Consider the following 14,249-nt stretch of genomic DNA (forward strand, 5'->3'; position numbering starts at 1 on the left):
TGGTGGGTTGTGGGTCCTTTCACTGGGAAGCTGCATTCCAGGTGGGGATGAGCAGGGCAAAGGAAATTTTCATCATAAACTTTTCTATGCAAAAGTTTACAATGTGCAATTTGATTTCCTTCCATGCCCTTAAATTACATCAATCAAAGAGAAAAGGGGAGAAGAGCCCCAGCCCAGCTTGATCCAGTGAGCTATGTTTGGAGAGGAAGCTCTGGGCAGGGGCTGGGGAAGGTGGTGTTGGATCCTGTTGGGGGACAGGCCAGGGAATCTGTGAGACAGATGATGGATGTGATGGGATGTGCCAGCAGAGGCCGGCGGGGCCAGCGCATCCCTCCTACCTTCCTCCCTTCTGTGGACACTTGGGGGAAGTCGTAGGTGACTAGTGAGTTAAAAAATGAATTACCAATGAGTAATTAGTTACTGATGAGGTTTTAAGGTTGTAATTATTAATTAATTCATGAGTTATTAGAGGAGGGTTAGCTATTAATGAGATGCTCTCTAACTCCAGTTCCTATGTTTCTGTGTTCCAGCTTCTAAAAAGAATAAACTTGGAATTAACTTTCAAATGTTATTATGCTTTAAAATTGTATCTGTCAAACCTCACAGTTACCTCAAAGTAGACATTTTTTAAAACAAGTAGAATATTCACTGTTGGAAACAAATGCTCAGTGCTACAAAGTGAAACCAGCACTCAGACAAAAGTTTTCTCAGCAAGGCAATTTACTTCTGCAGAAGGGTGCTGCCTGCATCAATCATGATCACAGGAGCACACTGAACAAAGGAAGGAAAAGGTTTTTATCCCTAACACAGTCCCTACCTCTGTGTCACTCCCCCAGGGGCTGGGGTTGGACCGCTCATTCTAAGTTGACCCGATTGGCTATTTGTGAATACTTTTCCAAATAAGGAAGGGAAGGGGGATGTGAGTTACAGTGGTGGGAAGTGCAGTTTCAGTGGGAAGAATGGGTGCAGAGTGGGTAACCAAGGGAGCAGATGTGAGTTATTGATTAGAACTGGTGGGAAGGTTGTTCACAGTAACTAGGGACAAGGAGGCATGGACAACAAGGAAGTCGAGTTTGAGAACAAAGAATAAGGAAGTCAACAGGCTAAATCTTTGAAGAGGAATTTACTGTATCTTATAATTTCCCCCTTTCAATTGTTATGGTCCTTCCTCTTCAAACCTTTTTAACAAGTCTTGGCTTTGCTGTTCGACTTGATCCTCTAAAAGGAAAAGCTTATCTGAATAAGGTGGAGGAGAGCTAAGGGAGGTTTTAGTAAGTACTGTTTCTATAAGCCTCTGTACTAGCCCACGGATACATGGTGTGACACAACACCCAAAAAGAATGACTACACCTATTACGGCTGCAAGAGAAGTAAGAATTGAGGCTATGATTCCTTTCCATTTACCAAACCACCTTTCTAGCCATCCTGAAAAAGGGTCATTGACTCCAGAATTTTTAGCTAATTCATTGGATAAAGCAGTAAGGCCTTGTAAGGCCCTTGTTATGCTCCCACTAGGGGCAGTATTGTTTGGGATGAAGGTACAACATTGAGTTTTGATCATAACACAAACTCCACCTTTTTTGGCTAATATCATGTCTAGGGCCATTCTGTTTTCCCAAGCCATCTGGCTAGTAGGCCCTAACTGTTCAGCTATTCTTTTGACAGCATCTCTAGTGTAGTTAATAAACCGCTGCTGGTTATAATAGATGTAATTTATCCAATCTATGTTTTTACTGATAGTTACCCACCAAAATATTGATTCAAATCCTGCAGCTATCTGGTCTTGAGCTTTGAATTTGTGTGGTACTCCCTGTGGGACTCCAGTTGCGTCTAAATAAACTTGAGAGTCAAAAGACCCATAAGGGGCTTCTCTTATTTTACGGTGTTGTGGCTTTTCTTTTTCTGGTTGAAGAAATGCAAGGGCAAAAGGGATAGCGAATTGGACAAGAGTGCAAGTACCACTCCAGTTACTTGGCAGAGTGTCCAGTAAGGGTCCACCACAATACCACCATACATCCGCTACATCCGCTCGAGAATGACTAACAGCAGACTGATGGGTAAGCTCTTGGAAGGGCTTAAGCTCACTACATCCCATTAAGCTTCCACGGAATGCCAAGTTTTCCCTTGTCATGAGAGACATGAGATGAAACTGACATTGGGAGACGGAAGCTGGATGGCCCTCGGGGGCTGACCCGCAGGGTGTTGAACTTCAGGATAGAGCAGAGAGAGAGCTTGGCATGATATATTGCCCCAAGCTGTAGAATCCTGGAAGAGAGCTACCATACAGCCCATGCTTGGTCGACGGGAGGACCATCTGAGTGGAAAGGGGACAATCTGGGCCTCTGGCCTGCTGTGCGCACAAGCATAACAATTGCTTTTGTTTAAAGTGTGGACGGAATATTTAATCCATTCCATCCAGGCATTTGCATCTTGATATCCTGTTTCAATTGCTAAAGTTTGTTTTAGGTCATTTACTTCTACAATATCTATTTTGGTTTTATCTTTGGGTGGAGGAAGAACAGAACATTGGGGGATAATGTAGAAGGAATGTAGGAGGTGAAGGAGTAATAAAACATATCTCAAAATATCCAATAAGATGTGCCCCTGCTATTTCGGCTCCCATGCCATATAAGCAACTTAAAGTAGGTTTAGGGTCAGTAGAAGTTGGAATGAGAATAGAAATTTGCACTGGATTACATTGGTTATACTGGCAATTATGGGGGGTACTTTCTTTAGTGAAGTGAATGTATGGTTTTAAGGACATACAACCACCGGTTGACGAGGTCCAGCCTTGATATTCAGTTGTCCACACAACATCATTCCAGCTATGGCAGACCTGTTTTCCTGCATTCGTTAAGGAACAAGGGTCTTGATAGGGGGAGCCTTTTATCTTAAAGGGGCAGAGATACTTCTCTGAGTCTGAGAGTTGCTTTTGACTTTGGAGATCTCCACAGGGTATGACAAGACATGCATCGAAGGTAATAGTTTGGGGTGAGCTTGACCTGGTTACATTAATAATGAGGTGGTCAGCCATAGAATGAGGAAAGAAGAAGGAGTAATAGAATAGATGAAGGAGAGTTAAACTTTTCTTAGCGTTAGTTTGGTAGGGTTTTCCCCTGGGATAACGGCCCATGACTCCGGAGGTGGTGATGCTTTCTTGACTGGGGTGTGATGGGTCCATCCTTTTTCTGCTATCTGGACTGTGGTTTCAGTGTTAGGAGCACCAGGTAAGGTCCTTCCCAGGCTGGTTCGAGTTTCTCCTCTTTCCAGCTTTTGATGAGGACATGATCCCCAGGCTGATGTTGATGTACTGGGAACTCCAGGGGCCGTGCCTGTGTTTTGAGACCTTTGGTTTTAAGAAAAGAGAACGTAGAGTCTGATGAAAGCTTTTTATTTTTACTTTTTATTTTTATAAGCTCTGTTGGACTTGAGAAAGCTTTTTAAATTTTCTTTCTTTAAGCAGAATCTGATCAAATATTCAATATAACAGGAAACAGTGCATTTTATGCTTAAGGAGAAGAAAATGTAGCACATCATGATTTAGTTGTTTTTTTTGTTTTTGTTTTTTGTTTTGTTTTGTTTTGTTTTTTTGAGATGGAGTCTCGCTCTTGTCACCCAGGCTGGAGTGCAGTGGCGCTATCTCGGCTCACTGCAAGCTCCGCCTCCCGGATTCACGCCATTCTTCTGACTCAGCCTCCTGAGCAGCTGGGACTACAGGCGCCCGCCACCATGCCCGGCTAATTATTTTTTGTATTTTTAGTAGAGATGGAGTTTCACCGTGATCTCGATCTCCTGACCTTGTGATCCGCCCGCCTCCGCCTCCCAAAGTGCTGGGATTACAGGCGTGAGCCAGCGGCTCATGATTTAGGTTTTTAATACATTTCTATTTTGCAGATTGGGATTGAGACAGTTATGTTTGGTTTGGACAGTGACCCCAGTGTGATGATTGTCTGTGTGGCCTTAATGTTGACCCGGGTTGTTCTCATGAAAGATCATTTCAAGATCCATACAACCAAGATTTCAGGACTGTTGGCAAAATAGGGGAAAGTAAGTCACTATGGTGATGCAGACACTCAAAAACGTCTGTATTGGGAAACTACTTCATTTGGGTTTATAACGACCGCTTTTTTTTTTTTTTTTTTTGATACGGAGTTTTGCTCTTTCACCCAGGCTGGAGTGCAATGGCGAGATCTCAGCTCACTGCAACCTCCGCCTCCCGGGTTCAAGTGATTATCCTGCCCCAGCCTCCCGAGTAGCTGGAATTACAGGCGCCCAGCTAATTTTTGTATTTTTAGTAGAGACAGGGTTTCACCATATCAGCCAGGCTGGTCTCGAACTCCTGACCTCAGGTGATCCACCCGCCTTGGCCTCCCAAAATGCTGGGATTACAGATGTGAGCCACTGTGCCCAGCCTAGATGATTTCTTCACAGCACATATCATTAAAAAGTTATCCCAAACACTAGACATTAAATGGGAATATCATACTCTTTGGCACCCACCTTTGTCAGGTAGGGTAGAAAGGATGAATCAGACCCTGAAGAACCACTTAACCAAATTAGTTCTAGAAACTTGGCTGCCATGGATTAAATGTCTTCCTATTGCCTTGTTAAGAATCTGAACTGCCCCTCGGAAAGATACTGGCCTTTCTCCTTATGAGATGCTCTATGGATTGCCTTATTTACACTCCACTGCTGACATTCCTACATTAGAAACAAAAGACCAATTTCTCAGGAATTATATACTTGGTCTCTCCTCTACTTTCTCTTTAGAAGGCCTGGGAAATGAAGGCCTAGGTCACCTAGTTGGAGGCTTGGGTCCTTTGAACAGGGGTCTGGACCCTTTATAGTTTTTGGCCCCCTGGAGACCTTGTTTAGAAGCATATGGGTTTGGAGCCATCTGCTGGAAAGTAGATAGCATGGATTTTGCTTTTTGTTTCTGCTTTTCTTCGCCTCTCCTCACATACACTTTTTGAGCTTCTCTGAGAAGTTCACTTAGGGCTTGGTTTTCCCAATCTTCTAATTTTTGTAACTTTTAGAAAATGTCTGACCAACTTTTAGTGACATAATGGAGCTTTAACATTCCCTGTCCAAGGAGATCTTCCAAATTTAGGCCTGCATATTGTCTCATTTGCTCCTTTAGCCTGTCTAAGAATTTCATAGGCCCTTCATCTTTTTCCTGTTGTATATTAAATGCTTTAGAGAGCTTTGGGGTTCGGGTACTGATTCTCTAATTCCTTTTATTATCATTTCCCATAGGTCTTGCATATTTTCCCAGTGAGCTGCATTATTATTGTCCCACTGTGGGTCTTGGGTGGGAAATTTTTTATCTGCAGTGGAATGTTTTGACCAGGAGGGTGTTCATGTTCCCAAATTGCCATAGCAGCCCTACAGATTATGCTTCTTTCTTCCCCTGAAAAGAGGATACCTAGGATGGACATTAACTTGACCCAAGTATATAACTGAGGTCCCAAGAATTGATCAACCTGATCTGACACCCCATAAGGGTCATCTAACAATGGCTTCGTTTCCTTTTTCAAACTTTGGACTTCTGAACTGGTTAAGGGAGCATTCACAAAGCCAATAGCTCCCCCTCCTTGTGGCACCTCTTTTAAGGGGAAGAGAGTCAGGGCTGACTTCTTAGGTGTGGAGAGAAATGGGAAATTCTGGATATTCTTTTTATATTGTTCTACCTCATGCTGGAGTCCTTTTAGGGAGGAGTACTTGGGCTGGGAGGGAACAGGCTCATGGGATGATGATTCCCAAGAATCAGGATTTTAAGGAGGAGAAATAATGTGAGCAGGGGAAGGATCTGGAGCGGGATCCAGGATGGCAACAGCTGCCTGAGGGGAAGGTTTAGGGGCCCTGAGTGGGGGAAGATGGTCTAGGGGAGCCCATGTGCTGGAGTCTTTAGGCACGGGAACTGGCTTTTCTGACTCTTCATTCTGAGTTGCTAGATTGGGTTTTTCCCTAGTTGTATTTAAGGGAAAGAGGAGGACAGGTCCCTGCCTTCAACAAAGAGGATAGTCCAGTTCTTCTTAATATTTTTTTTTTTTTTGAGACAGAGTCTCGCTCAGTCACCCAGGCTGGAGTGCGGTGGCCGGATCTCAGCTCACTGCAAGCTCTGCCTCTTGGGTTCACGCCATTCTCCTGCCTCAGCCTCCCAAGTAGCTGGGACTACAGGCGCCCACCACCACGCCTGGCTAATTTTTTGTATTTTTTAATAGAGACGGGGTTTCACCATGTTAGCCAGGATGGCCTTGATCTCCTGACCTCATGATCCACCCGCCTCGGCCTCCCAAAGTGCTGGGATTACAGGTGTGAGCCACTGCGCCCGGCCTGTCCAGTTCTTCTTGAGAAACTGGACTTTTATCATTTACATATTGAATTAGAAGTTGACACATCACATCCTCATTAGACCCAAACTTTGGCCAGAAGATTGAGGGATTGAGGATGGGTCCCTGAGTCCAAATAAAATAGCAATATTTTATCATTTGTTGCTTTTTCTTATGTTTAGTCCTCTCATTATCTTTCCAATATTTCAACATGAGACCTAGGGAACTATCGGGGGAATATCTTTATTGCTATCTTTATCCATTTTTTTTTTGAGATGGAGTCTTGCTCTGTTGCCCAGGCTGGAGTGCAGTGGTGCAATCTCAGCTCACTGCAAGCTCTGCCTCCTGGGTTCACTCCATTCTCCTGCCTCAGCCTCCCAAGTAGTTGGGACTACAGGCACCCACCACTGCACCTGGCTAATTTTTTGTATTTTTAGTAGAGATGGGGTCTCACCGTGGTAGCCACAAAGGTCTCAATCTCCTGACCTCATGATCCGCCCGTCTCAGCCTCCCAAAGTGCTGGGATTACAGGCGTGAGCCACCGTGCCCAGCCCTATCTTTATCCTTTTTACTCCCTGTCTTGCTTGGGGTATTTCCCATGTTGGGTTCCAATTAGGCTCAATCTCTCATACTGGAGACTTCTTACCTATTCTTCTCTTGAGGCTTGCTGAGGCTCAATCCCTCATATTAGAGATTTCTTGCTTATCCTTTAACCCCACCTGCTGGAGGCTCTTTGCACCCTTCTCCCTTTGCTTCGCCCACTCTGGCCACTTCCCTCTTGGGAATGTTTCAGGCCCCTCTTAGCATTGATGGCGGGTCAGTATAAACCCCTGCTGGGACCCCCAAAGGGCCTCCCTAAGCCGTATGAGGTGACCACAGAACTGCAGATTGGACTCACTCACACTACACAGCAGTCATGCTTGTTGCCATTCATGTGCTTTAAGCCTCCAGAATATCCCAACCACCAAGGAAGTACTTTGTTGCTGCTGCAAAGTTTCTTACCTTAGTATGTGCACAGAGTTACTTGGTCGCCACGGTGTTGCAAGACTTTTTCTCCTCGCGATGCTGAGAGTCTGGGTTTATTCGTTGCACCAGGTGGGTCCTGATTCTTCACCCTGAGGCCACCTCAATGAGGCAGTGGGACGCGTCTCCTCATGAGAGGTGACTGGAGACCCCTTTCCTGGAGGAAAATGGGGATCCTGGATGAGTCCCCAGATTTGCTGGAAACAAATGCTCAGAGCTGCAAAGTGAAACCAGCACTCAGGCAAAGGTTTTCTCAGCAAGGCAATTTACTTCTGCAGAAGGGTGCTGCCTGTGTCAATCACGATCACAGGAGCACACTGAACAAAGGAGGGAAAGGGTTTTTATCCCTAATGCAGTCCCTACCTCTGTGTCACTACCCCAGGGGTTGGGGTTGGACCACACATTCTAAGTTGACCTGATTGGCTATTTGTGAATACTTTTCCAAATAAGGAAGGGAAGGGGGATGTGAGTTACAGTGATGGGACGTGCAGTTTCAGTGGGAAGAATGGGTGCAGAGTGGGTAACCAAGGGAAAGATGTGAGTTATTGATTAGAACTGGTGAGAAGGTTGTTACAGTAACTAGAGGCAAGGAGACATGGAGAACAAGGAAGCTGAGTTTGAGAACAAAGAATAAGGAAGTTAACAGGCTAAATCTTTGAAGGGGAATTTACTGTATCTTACATTCACCATCCACCCATTGCTCAGCAGATAGCCTGTGCTTGGCTCAGGGTCGTGCTATGAGTGCCCATCAAGGCCCTCAGGCATTGGGACATCAGGCGGCAAGTACACATGGTAGCCCCAGGTGTGAAAATGCCCAAGGAGAACATCAAGAGAGGCCACGCTGTCAGCCACCACCTCTAGACACGATGGTTGAAGAGAGCTGCCTCACTGGATTAGTGCTTCACCAGAGAAACAGAGATAAGATGATCTATCTATCTATCTATCTATCTATCTATCTATCTATCTACCTATCTATCTGAATGTAAACCAAATATAAAGTCTAAGCCTCCTAACTGACTGAATGGATCAGTGGCCAAAGGGATTCCAAAGACATGGGAAAAACTAGTTCAGGTCATGACAGGAAGGGACGAGGGGTCAGACGTGCCTCATTATACTCCCTCCCTTTTGGAGTTTAGAAAAACTGACCAGTATTATCATTAAAATAGAGATCCCAAGACTGACAACACAGATTCTGTGTAGCAATGAGATACCCACTCTGAACTGACCCTGGTATAACATCCCATGACAGATAACAGGCCCTAAAGGGAATCAAAGTATTTTATTCCAAAATTTATTTTTCTTTGACATATATTAAAATGGACCTGTAAAGCTTTTTCTTTTCTTTCTTTCTTTCTTTTTTTTTTTTTTTTTTTTGTGAAATGGCGTTTCACTCTTGTTGCCCAGGCTGGAGTGCAGTGGCATGATCTTGGCTCACTGCAACCCCCACCACCCAGGTGCAAGTGATTCTCCTGTCTCAACCTCCTGAGTAGCTGGGATTACAGATGCCCACCACCACACCTGGCTTATTTTTTGTTTTTTTAGTAGAGATGGGATTTCATCACGTTGGCCAGGCTGGCCTTGAACTCCTGACCTCAGGTGATCCACCTGCCTTGGCCTCCCAAAATGCTGGGATTACAGGTGTAAGCCACAACGCCCAGCACAAAGCCATTTCTTGTGGGGAAAATCTACACTCTGTAGAAAATCCCCTTCCCTTTCCAGGTCTTTTCCTGATCCAGGAGAGATTTAATTAAGAGTCTGGCACCTTTTAAGGTCTGATAAGAGACAGTTACCATCTATTCTCTCTGAAGCGTGCCACCTGGAGGCTCCATCTACATAACAAGTACCTCAGCTTCCACAGCCCCCCTTATCTTAACCCCAAGCATTTCTATCTGCTGACTTCAACTCTTCAGTCAAAGTTTAATTCTTACAACTAATTTCCAATCAGGAAATCTTTGAATCCGCCTATGACCTGGAAGCGTCTTGCTTCGAGATGTCTTGCCTTTCCAGGCTAAACCAATGTATAGCTTACATGTATTAATTTATGTCTTTGCCTGTAACTTCTGTCTCCCTAAAATGTATAAAATCAAGCTATAACCCAAACACCTTGGGCACCAGTTCTCAGAACCACCTGAGGATCATGATCCTCACATTTGTCTCAGAATAAACCTTTTCAAATATTTTACAGAATTTGGCTTTTTTCATCAGTCTATCTATCTATCATCTATCTATCTATCTATCTATCTATCTATCTATCTATCTATCTATCTACCTATGGTAAAAGGAATATAAATCCTGGGATTTCCAAATCACTAAGCCAAAGGGGAAAGTCAGGCTGGGAACTGCATCAGGCAAACCTGCCTCCCATTTTATTCCTAAATAAGATAGCTACAAAGATAAAAAAGCTACATGTTTCCCTAAAATATATAAAACCAAGCTGTACCCCAGCCACCTTGGGCACATGTCATCAGGACCTCCTGAGGCTGTGTCATGAGCACATCCTTAATCTTGGCAAAATAAACTTCCTAAATAGATTGAGAGGTTTATTTTGAGGCACTGGTTCATATGACTGTGGGGCTGGCAAGTCTGGAATGTGCAGGGCAGGTGGCAGGCTGAAAACTCAGAGAAGAGTTGAAGCTGCTGCTCGGGCCCAAAGGCAGTTTGCTGGCAGAATTCCCTCCTCCATGGGGGAGGTGAGCCTTTTTCTTAAGGCCTTCAACTGATTGCATGAGCCCTGTAGGGGAGGAATAAAATATCTTTACCCTATCCATCTTAGGGTTCATTGGATGAGGCCCCGCAAATTAGACTAGTAGAAGACGAAGAAACAGGAGAAAAACAAACCAAAGTTTGCTAAAGCATGCTTACACATGGGAGGACTCAGAGATGAGTCGTTGAAAGGGGTAGTTAGTACTTGGGCTTAGGGCCGGGCACGGTGGCACACACCTGTAATCCCAGCACTTTGGGTGGCTGAAGTGTTACAGGAAAAGGGTCCTGATCCAGACCCCAAGAGAGGGTTCTTGGAACTCACACAAGAAAGAATTCAGTGCGAGTCCATACAGTAAAGTGAAAGCAAGTTTATTAAGAAACTAAAGGAATAAAGAATGGCTACTCCATAGGCAGAGCAGCCCTGAGGGCTGCTGGTTGCCCATTTTTATGGCTATTTCTTGACTACATGCTAAACAAGGGGTGTATTATTCCTGCCTCCCCTTTTTAGACCTATAGGGTAACTTCCTGATGTTGCCATGGCATCTGTAAACCGTCATGGTGCTGGTGGGAGTGTAGCAGTGAGGATGACCAGAGGTCACTCTTGTCGCTCTCTTGGTTTTTGTGAGTTTTAGCCCACTTCTTTGCTGCAAGCTGTTTTATCAGCAAGGTCTTTATGACCTGTATCTTGTGATGACCTCCTATCTTATCCTGTGACTTAGAATGCCTGACTGTCTGGGAATGCAGGCCAGCATTTCTCAGCCTTATTTCACCCAGCCGCTATTCAAAATGGAGTTGCTCTGGTTCAAACTCCTTTGACAGAGACAGGTGGATCACTTGAGTCCAGGAGTTCGAGACCACCCTAGGCAACATGGCAAAACCCTGTCTCTACAAAAAAATACATAAAAATTAGCTGGGCATGGTGGCATGTGCCTGTGTTCCCAACTACTTGGGGGGCTGAGGCGGGAGGATCACTGAGTCTGAGAGGCAGAGGTTGCAGTGAGCTGAGGTTGCATGGATATTGCAGTGAGTCCATACCGCACCACTGCACTCCAGCCTGAGTGACAGAGTGGGGCCCTGTCTCAAAAACAAAAAAAGAACTTGGGCTGAGATTGTTGTGTCTTAATAAAGAAGAATAACTTTGTCGAGAATTGACTAGAAAAAGGAAAGAGGAGTTAGGCTTTTAGGGGCAGCGAACAGACAAGGTTAATGTCTGGGGAAAAGGCAAGAAAGGGCTTGTGTGAGTAGTCTTCCTTGGTGCTATCTCATCTCGGTGATCTGGCTGTTAGCCCCTTCCTGATACAGGAAAGTGGGGAGCACCTTCACAAATGAAAATTTGTGCTCTGTTTTAAGGAAGTGAGTGGGGCAGCAGAGAGCTCACTTTGTCTACTTTTTTCAGTTGCCTTCAACTCAAAATAATACTTACGCCAGAGCGGCTTGTTCTGGGCGGCACATCCTGAACCCCTTCAGCCCCACCTGTATTACGGAGGTTCATCTGCTTCACTCAAAGTCTGGTGACTTAAACGTTAATCTCATCTGAAAAATACCTTTCCAGAAACCATCTAGAATAATGCTTGACCAAATATTTGGGTACAAGACCCAACTAAGTTCACACATGAAATTAACCATCACACTGACTAAGTGAAAATGATGAAGACCATTCCAGGAAAGTGGATGATGGGTCCTGACTTGGATGAGGAAAGGTGGGGAAGTGGTCTGAGTGCACCGCAGTGAAGCAGGGAGAGGGGAGCTGAAGCCACATGGTGGAGGGCCCTGAGGATATATAGGGAGTTTTGAGTATTCTGAGAGGTATGGAGATGAAACTGCTAAAGGAAAAAAATATGTATTTGTGGTGTTAGGTACCAGGGACTTCTATAAAGATCTTCTAGTTCTACATGGCAGGTGTAAAATGGGGTGCTCTGAGGAAGACTGTTTGCCCTACTGAAGAGTGAAGGCTGGATTCTAGTTGCGATGGGGAAGAACAATATTAAATATGACAAGTAGCCCTCACTTTACACTTTTACTCCAAAAGGATACTTGAACCGTCACTGATATCCTAATCGCCACCTTTTTTTTTTTTTTTTTTTGAGATGGCCTCTCGCTCTGTCACCCAGGCTGGAGTGCAGTGGCTCAATCTCGGCTCACTGCAGCCTCTGCCTTCTGGGTTCCAGTGATTCTCCTGCCTCAGCCTCCCGAGTACCTGGGATTACAGGCATGTGCTACCATGCCTGGCTAATTTTTGTATTTTTAGTAGAGACAGGGTTTCACCATGTTGGCCAGGCTAGTCTTGAACTGCTGACCTCAGGTGATCAGCCTACTTCGGCCTCCCAAAGTGCTGGGATTACAGGTGTGAGCCACCGTGCCGTCCCCTAACCACTACTTTTAAACATTTTTTTATGTGATGTTAAATGGCATTGCATTGGCTTGCGCTACAGGCTCCTATAGTACTGAGGCTGTAATAAAGAGCCAGTTTCCACTAGAACACAACTGAAGCTTTTTTTTGTTTTTTTTTGACTGCCTGGAAAGTCAGTTTCGCTTTCATAATGACAATTATTGCAAAAATGTCAAGAAACTTTCACCATGTTTTCTCCGGAATGTCTCATACAGCCCTTACTAATTTTTTCTTTTTTTTTTTTGAGTCAGGTTCTCACTCTGTCACCTAGACTGGAGTGCAGTGGCGTGATTTTGGCTCACCATAACCTCTGGCTTCCAGGCTCAAGTGATTCTCCTGCCTCAGCCTCCCGAGTAGCTGGGATTACAGGCGCCTGACACCACGCCTGTCTAATTTTTTTGTATTTTTAGTGGAGATGGGGTTTCACCGTGTTAGCCAGGATGGTCTCGATCTCCTGACCTCGAATGATCCACCCGCCTCGGCCTCCCAAAGCGGCAAAGCGATGGGATTACAGGCGTGAGCCACCGTGCCTGGCCACTGATTTTTAAGTAGCCACCAGGTAGCACTTGAGAGCAGAGAGAGGAAAAATGGACTCTCAGTGATCACAAAAGGCAGGAGGCTCAGGACCAAGGCCAGAGCTGAAATATTTATCAGGAGTCCCCTCCGAGTACTGCAAAGTGACCTTTTAAGAGTTCTTGAGAAAAAGAAGCCCCAGGAAGGGGGGCTGAGTGTGAAGAGGCCCTCCCCACCCCATCTATGGCTGTGTTTGGGTCTGTGGCCCCTGCGGGGAAGAGCTTCCAGAAGAGCCTCCTTTCTTTATCTGGAACTCAGCAGTGTTTCCAAGAGGCTTCTATTCCTAGCTCTCATTGCAATATGCATCTCAAGCCAGCTTGATGAGCGCAGAAGTACTGGAGAAAACAAAAGCGAACCGTAAGAGGCTGCGGGCTCTGGCAGGGTGTAGATGCCCTGCAGCAGTCTTTCCACCCTGCTGCCCAGGTGTGGGGTGGTGTCATGGGAAGTGCGGCGTGGCCCAGGGTCCAGCTGGTCTGTGCTGGTCCCCCCACCCCACCTCCCAAGAACTATCTTCCCAAAACATCTGCTTCATCCTGCTCTTTCTTCTCTGAATACGGGGATGGCTTTCAACTCTAGGACACCCAACCTAAAAAAAAAACCCAAACCGAGCAGTACACCTAACCTGTTGTTCCCCAGATGGTTTTTTTTTTTCTTTTTGAGACACAGTCTTGCTCTGTCACCCAGGCTGGAGTGCAGTGGCGTGATCTCAGCTCACTGCAATCTCTGCCTCCCGAGCTCAAGAAATTCTCCTGCCTCAGCTTCCCAAGTAGCTGTGATCACAGGCACCCGCTATCATGCCCGGCTAATTTTGTATTTTTTTTAATGGAGACGGGGTTTCATCATGTTGGCCAGGTTGATCTTGACCTCCTGACCTCAAATGATCCGCTCGCCGCGACCTTCCAAAGTGCTGGGATTATAGGCATGAGCCACCATGCCCAGCCCCCCAAATGGTTTTGAAGGAAATGCCACCTTCTCACCTCCATTCCCCTCCTCGCTGTGGCAGCAGCCCCTTGCCTGCAGAAGCCAGCTACCACCATGTGTCCTGATGACCTGTTCTCGTGAAAAATTATGACGCTCACACTGGGCTCTGTGTCACGCCTTCTCTGGGGGCCTGGCATGTATGAAAAAAGATAGCTCTTCACAGAGAAGGGGCTAAAGTCAGGCTCTGGTCACACCAGTGGCCTCTAAGCTTTCTGCGAAAGGCCAAGGATTATTTTTCAGGGATCTTC

At 45.5% G+C, this 14,249-nt stretch overlaps 1 protein-coding gene across 1 annotated transcript in view; it reads right to left on the reverse strand.

Annotated features, from left to right (window-relative positions):
- Positions 1-702: 702 nt before the first annotated feature.
- Positions 703-14,249, reverse strand: part of LOC124902201 (syncytin-A-like) — a 40,433-nt gene continuing 26,886 nt past the window's right edge. Inside the window, exons 6-7 of the mRNA XM_047424307.1 lie at positions 7,335-7,512; positions 703-3,346 (exon numbers count right to left, since the gene is read on the reverse strand). Coding sequence (XP_047280263.1) covers positions 1,157-2,140 — 984 coding nt within the window. The 5' untranslated portion in view covers positions 2,141-3,346; positions 7,335-7,512 and the 3' untranslated portion in view covers positions 703-1,156. The remainder of the gene's footprint in view (positions 3,347-7,334; positions 7,513-14,249) is intronic.

Source organism: Homo sapiens, chromosome 9 (genome assembly GCF_000001405.40).
Source record: "Homo sapiens chromosome 9, GRCh38.p14 Primary Assembly".
NCBI lineage: Eukaryota > Metazoa > Chordata > Mammalia > Primates > Hominidae > Homo > Homo sapiens.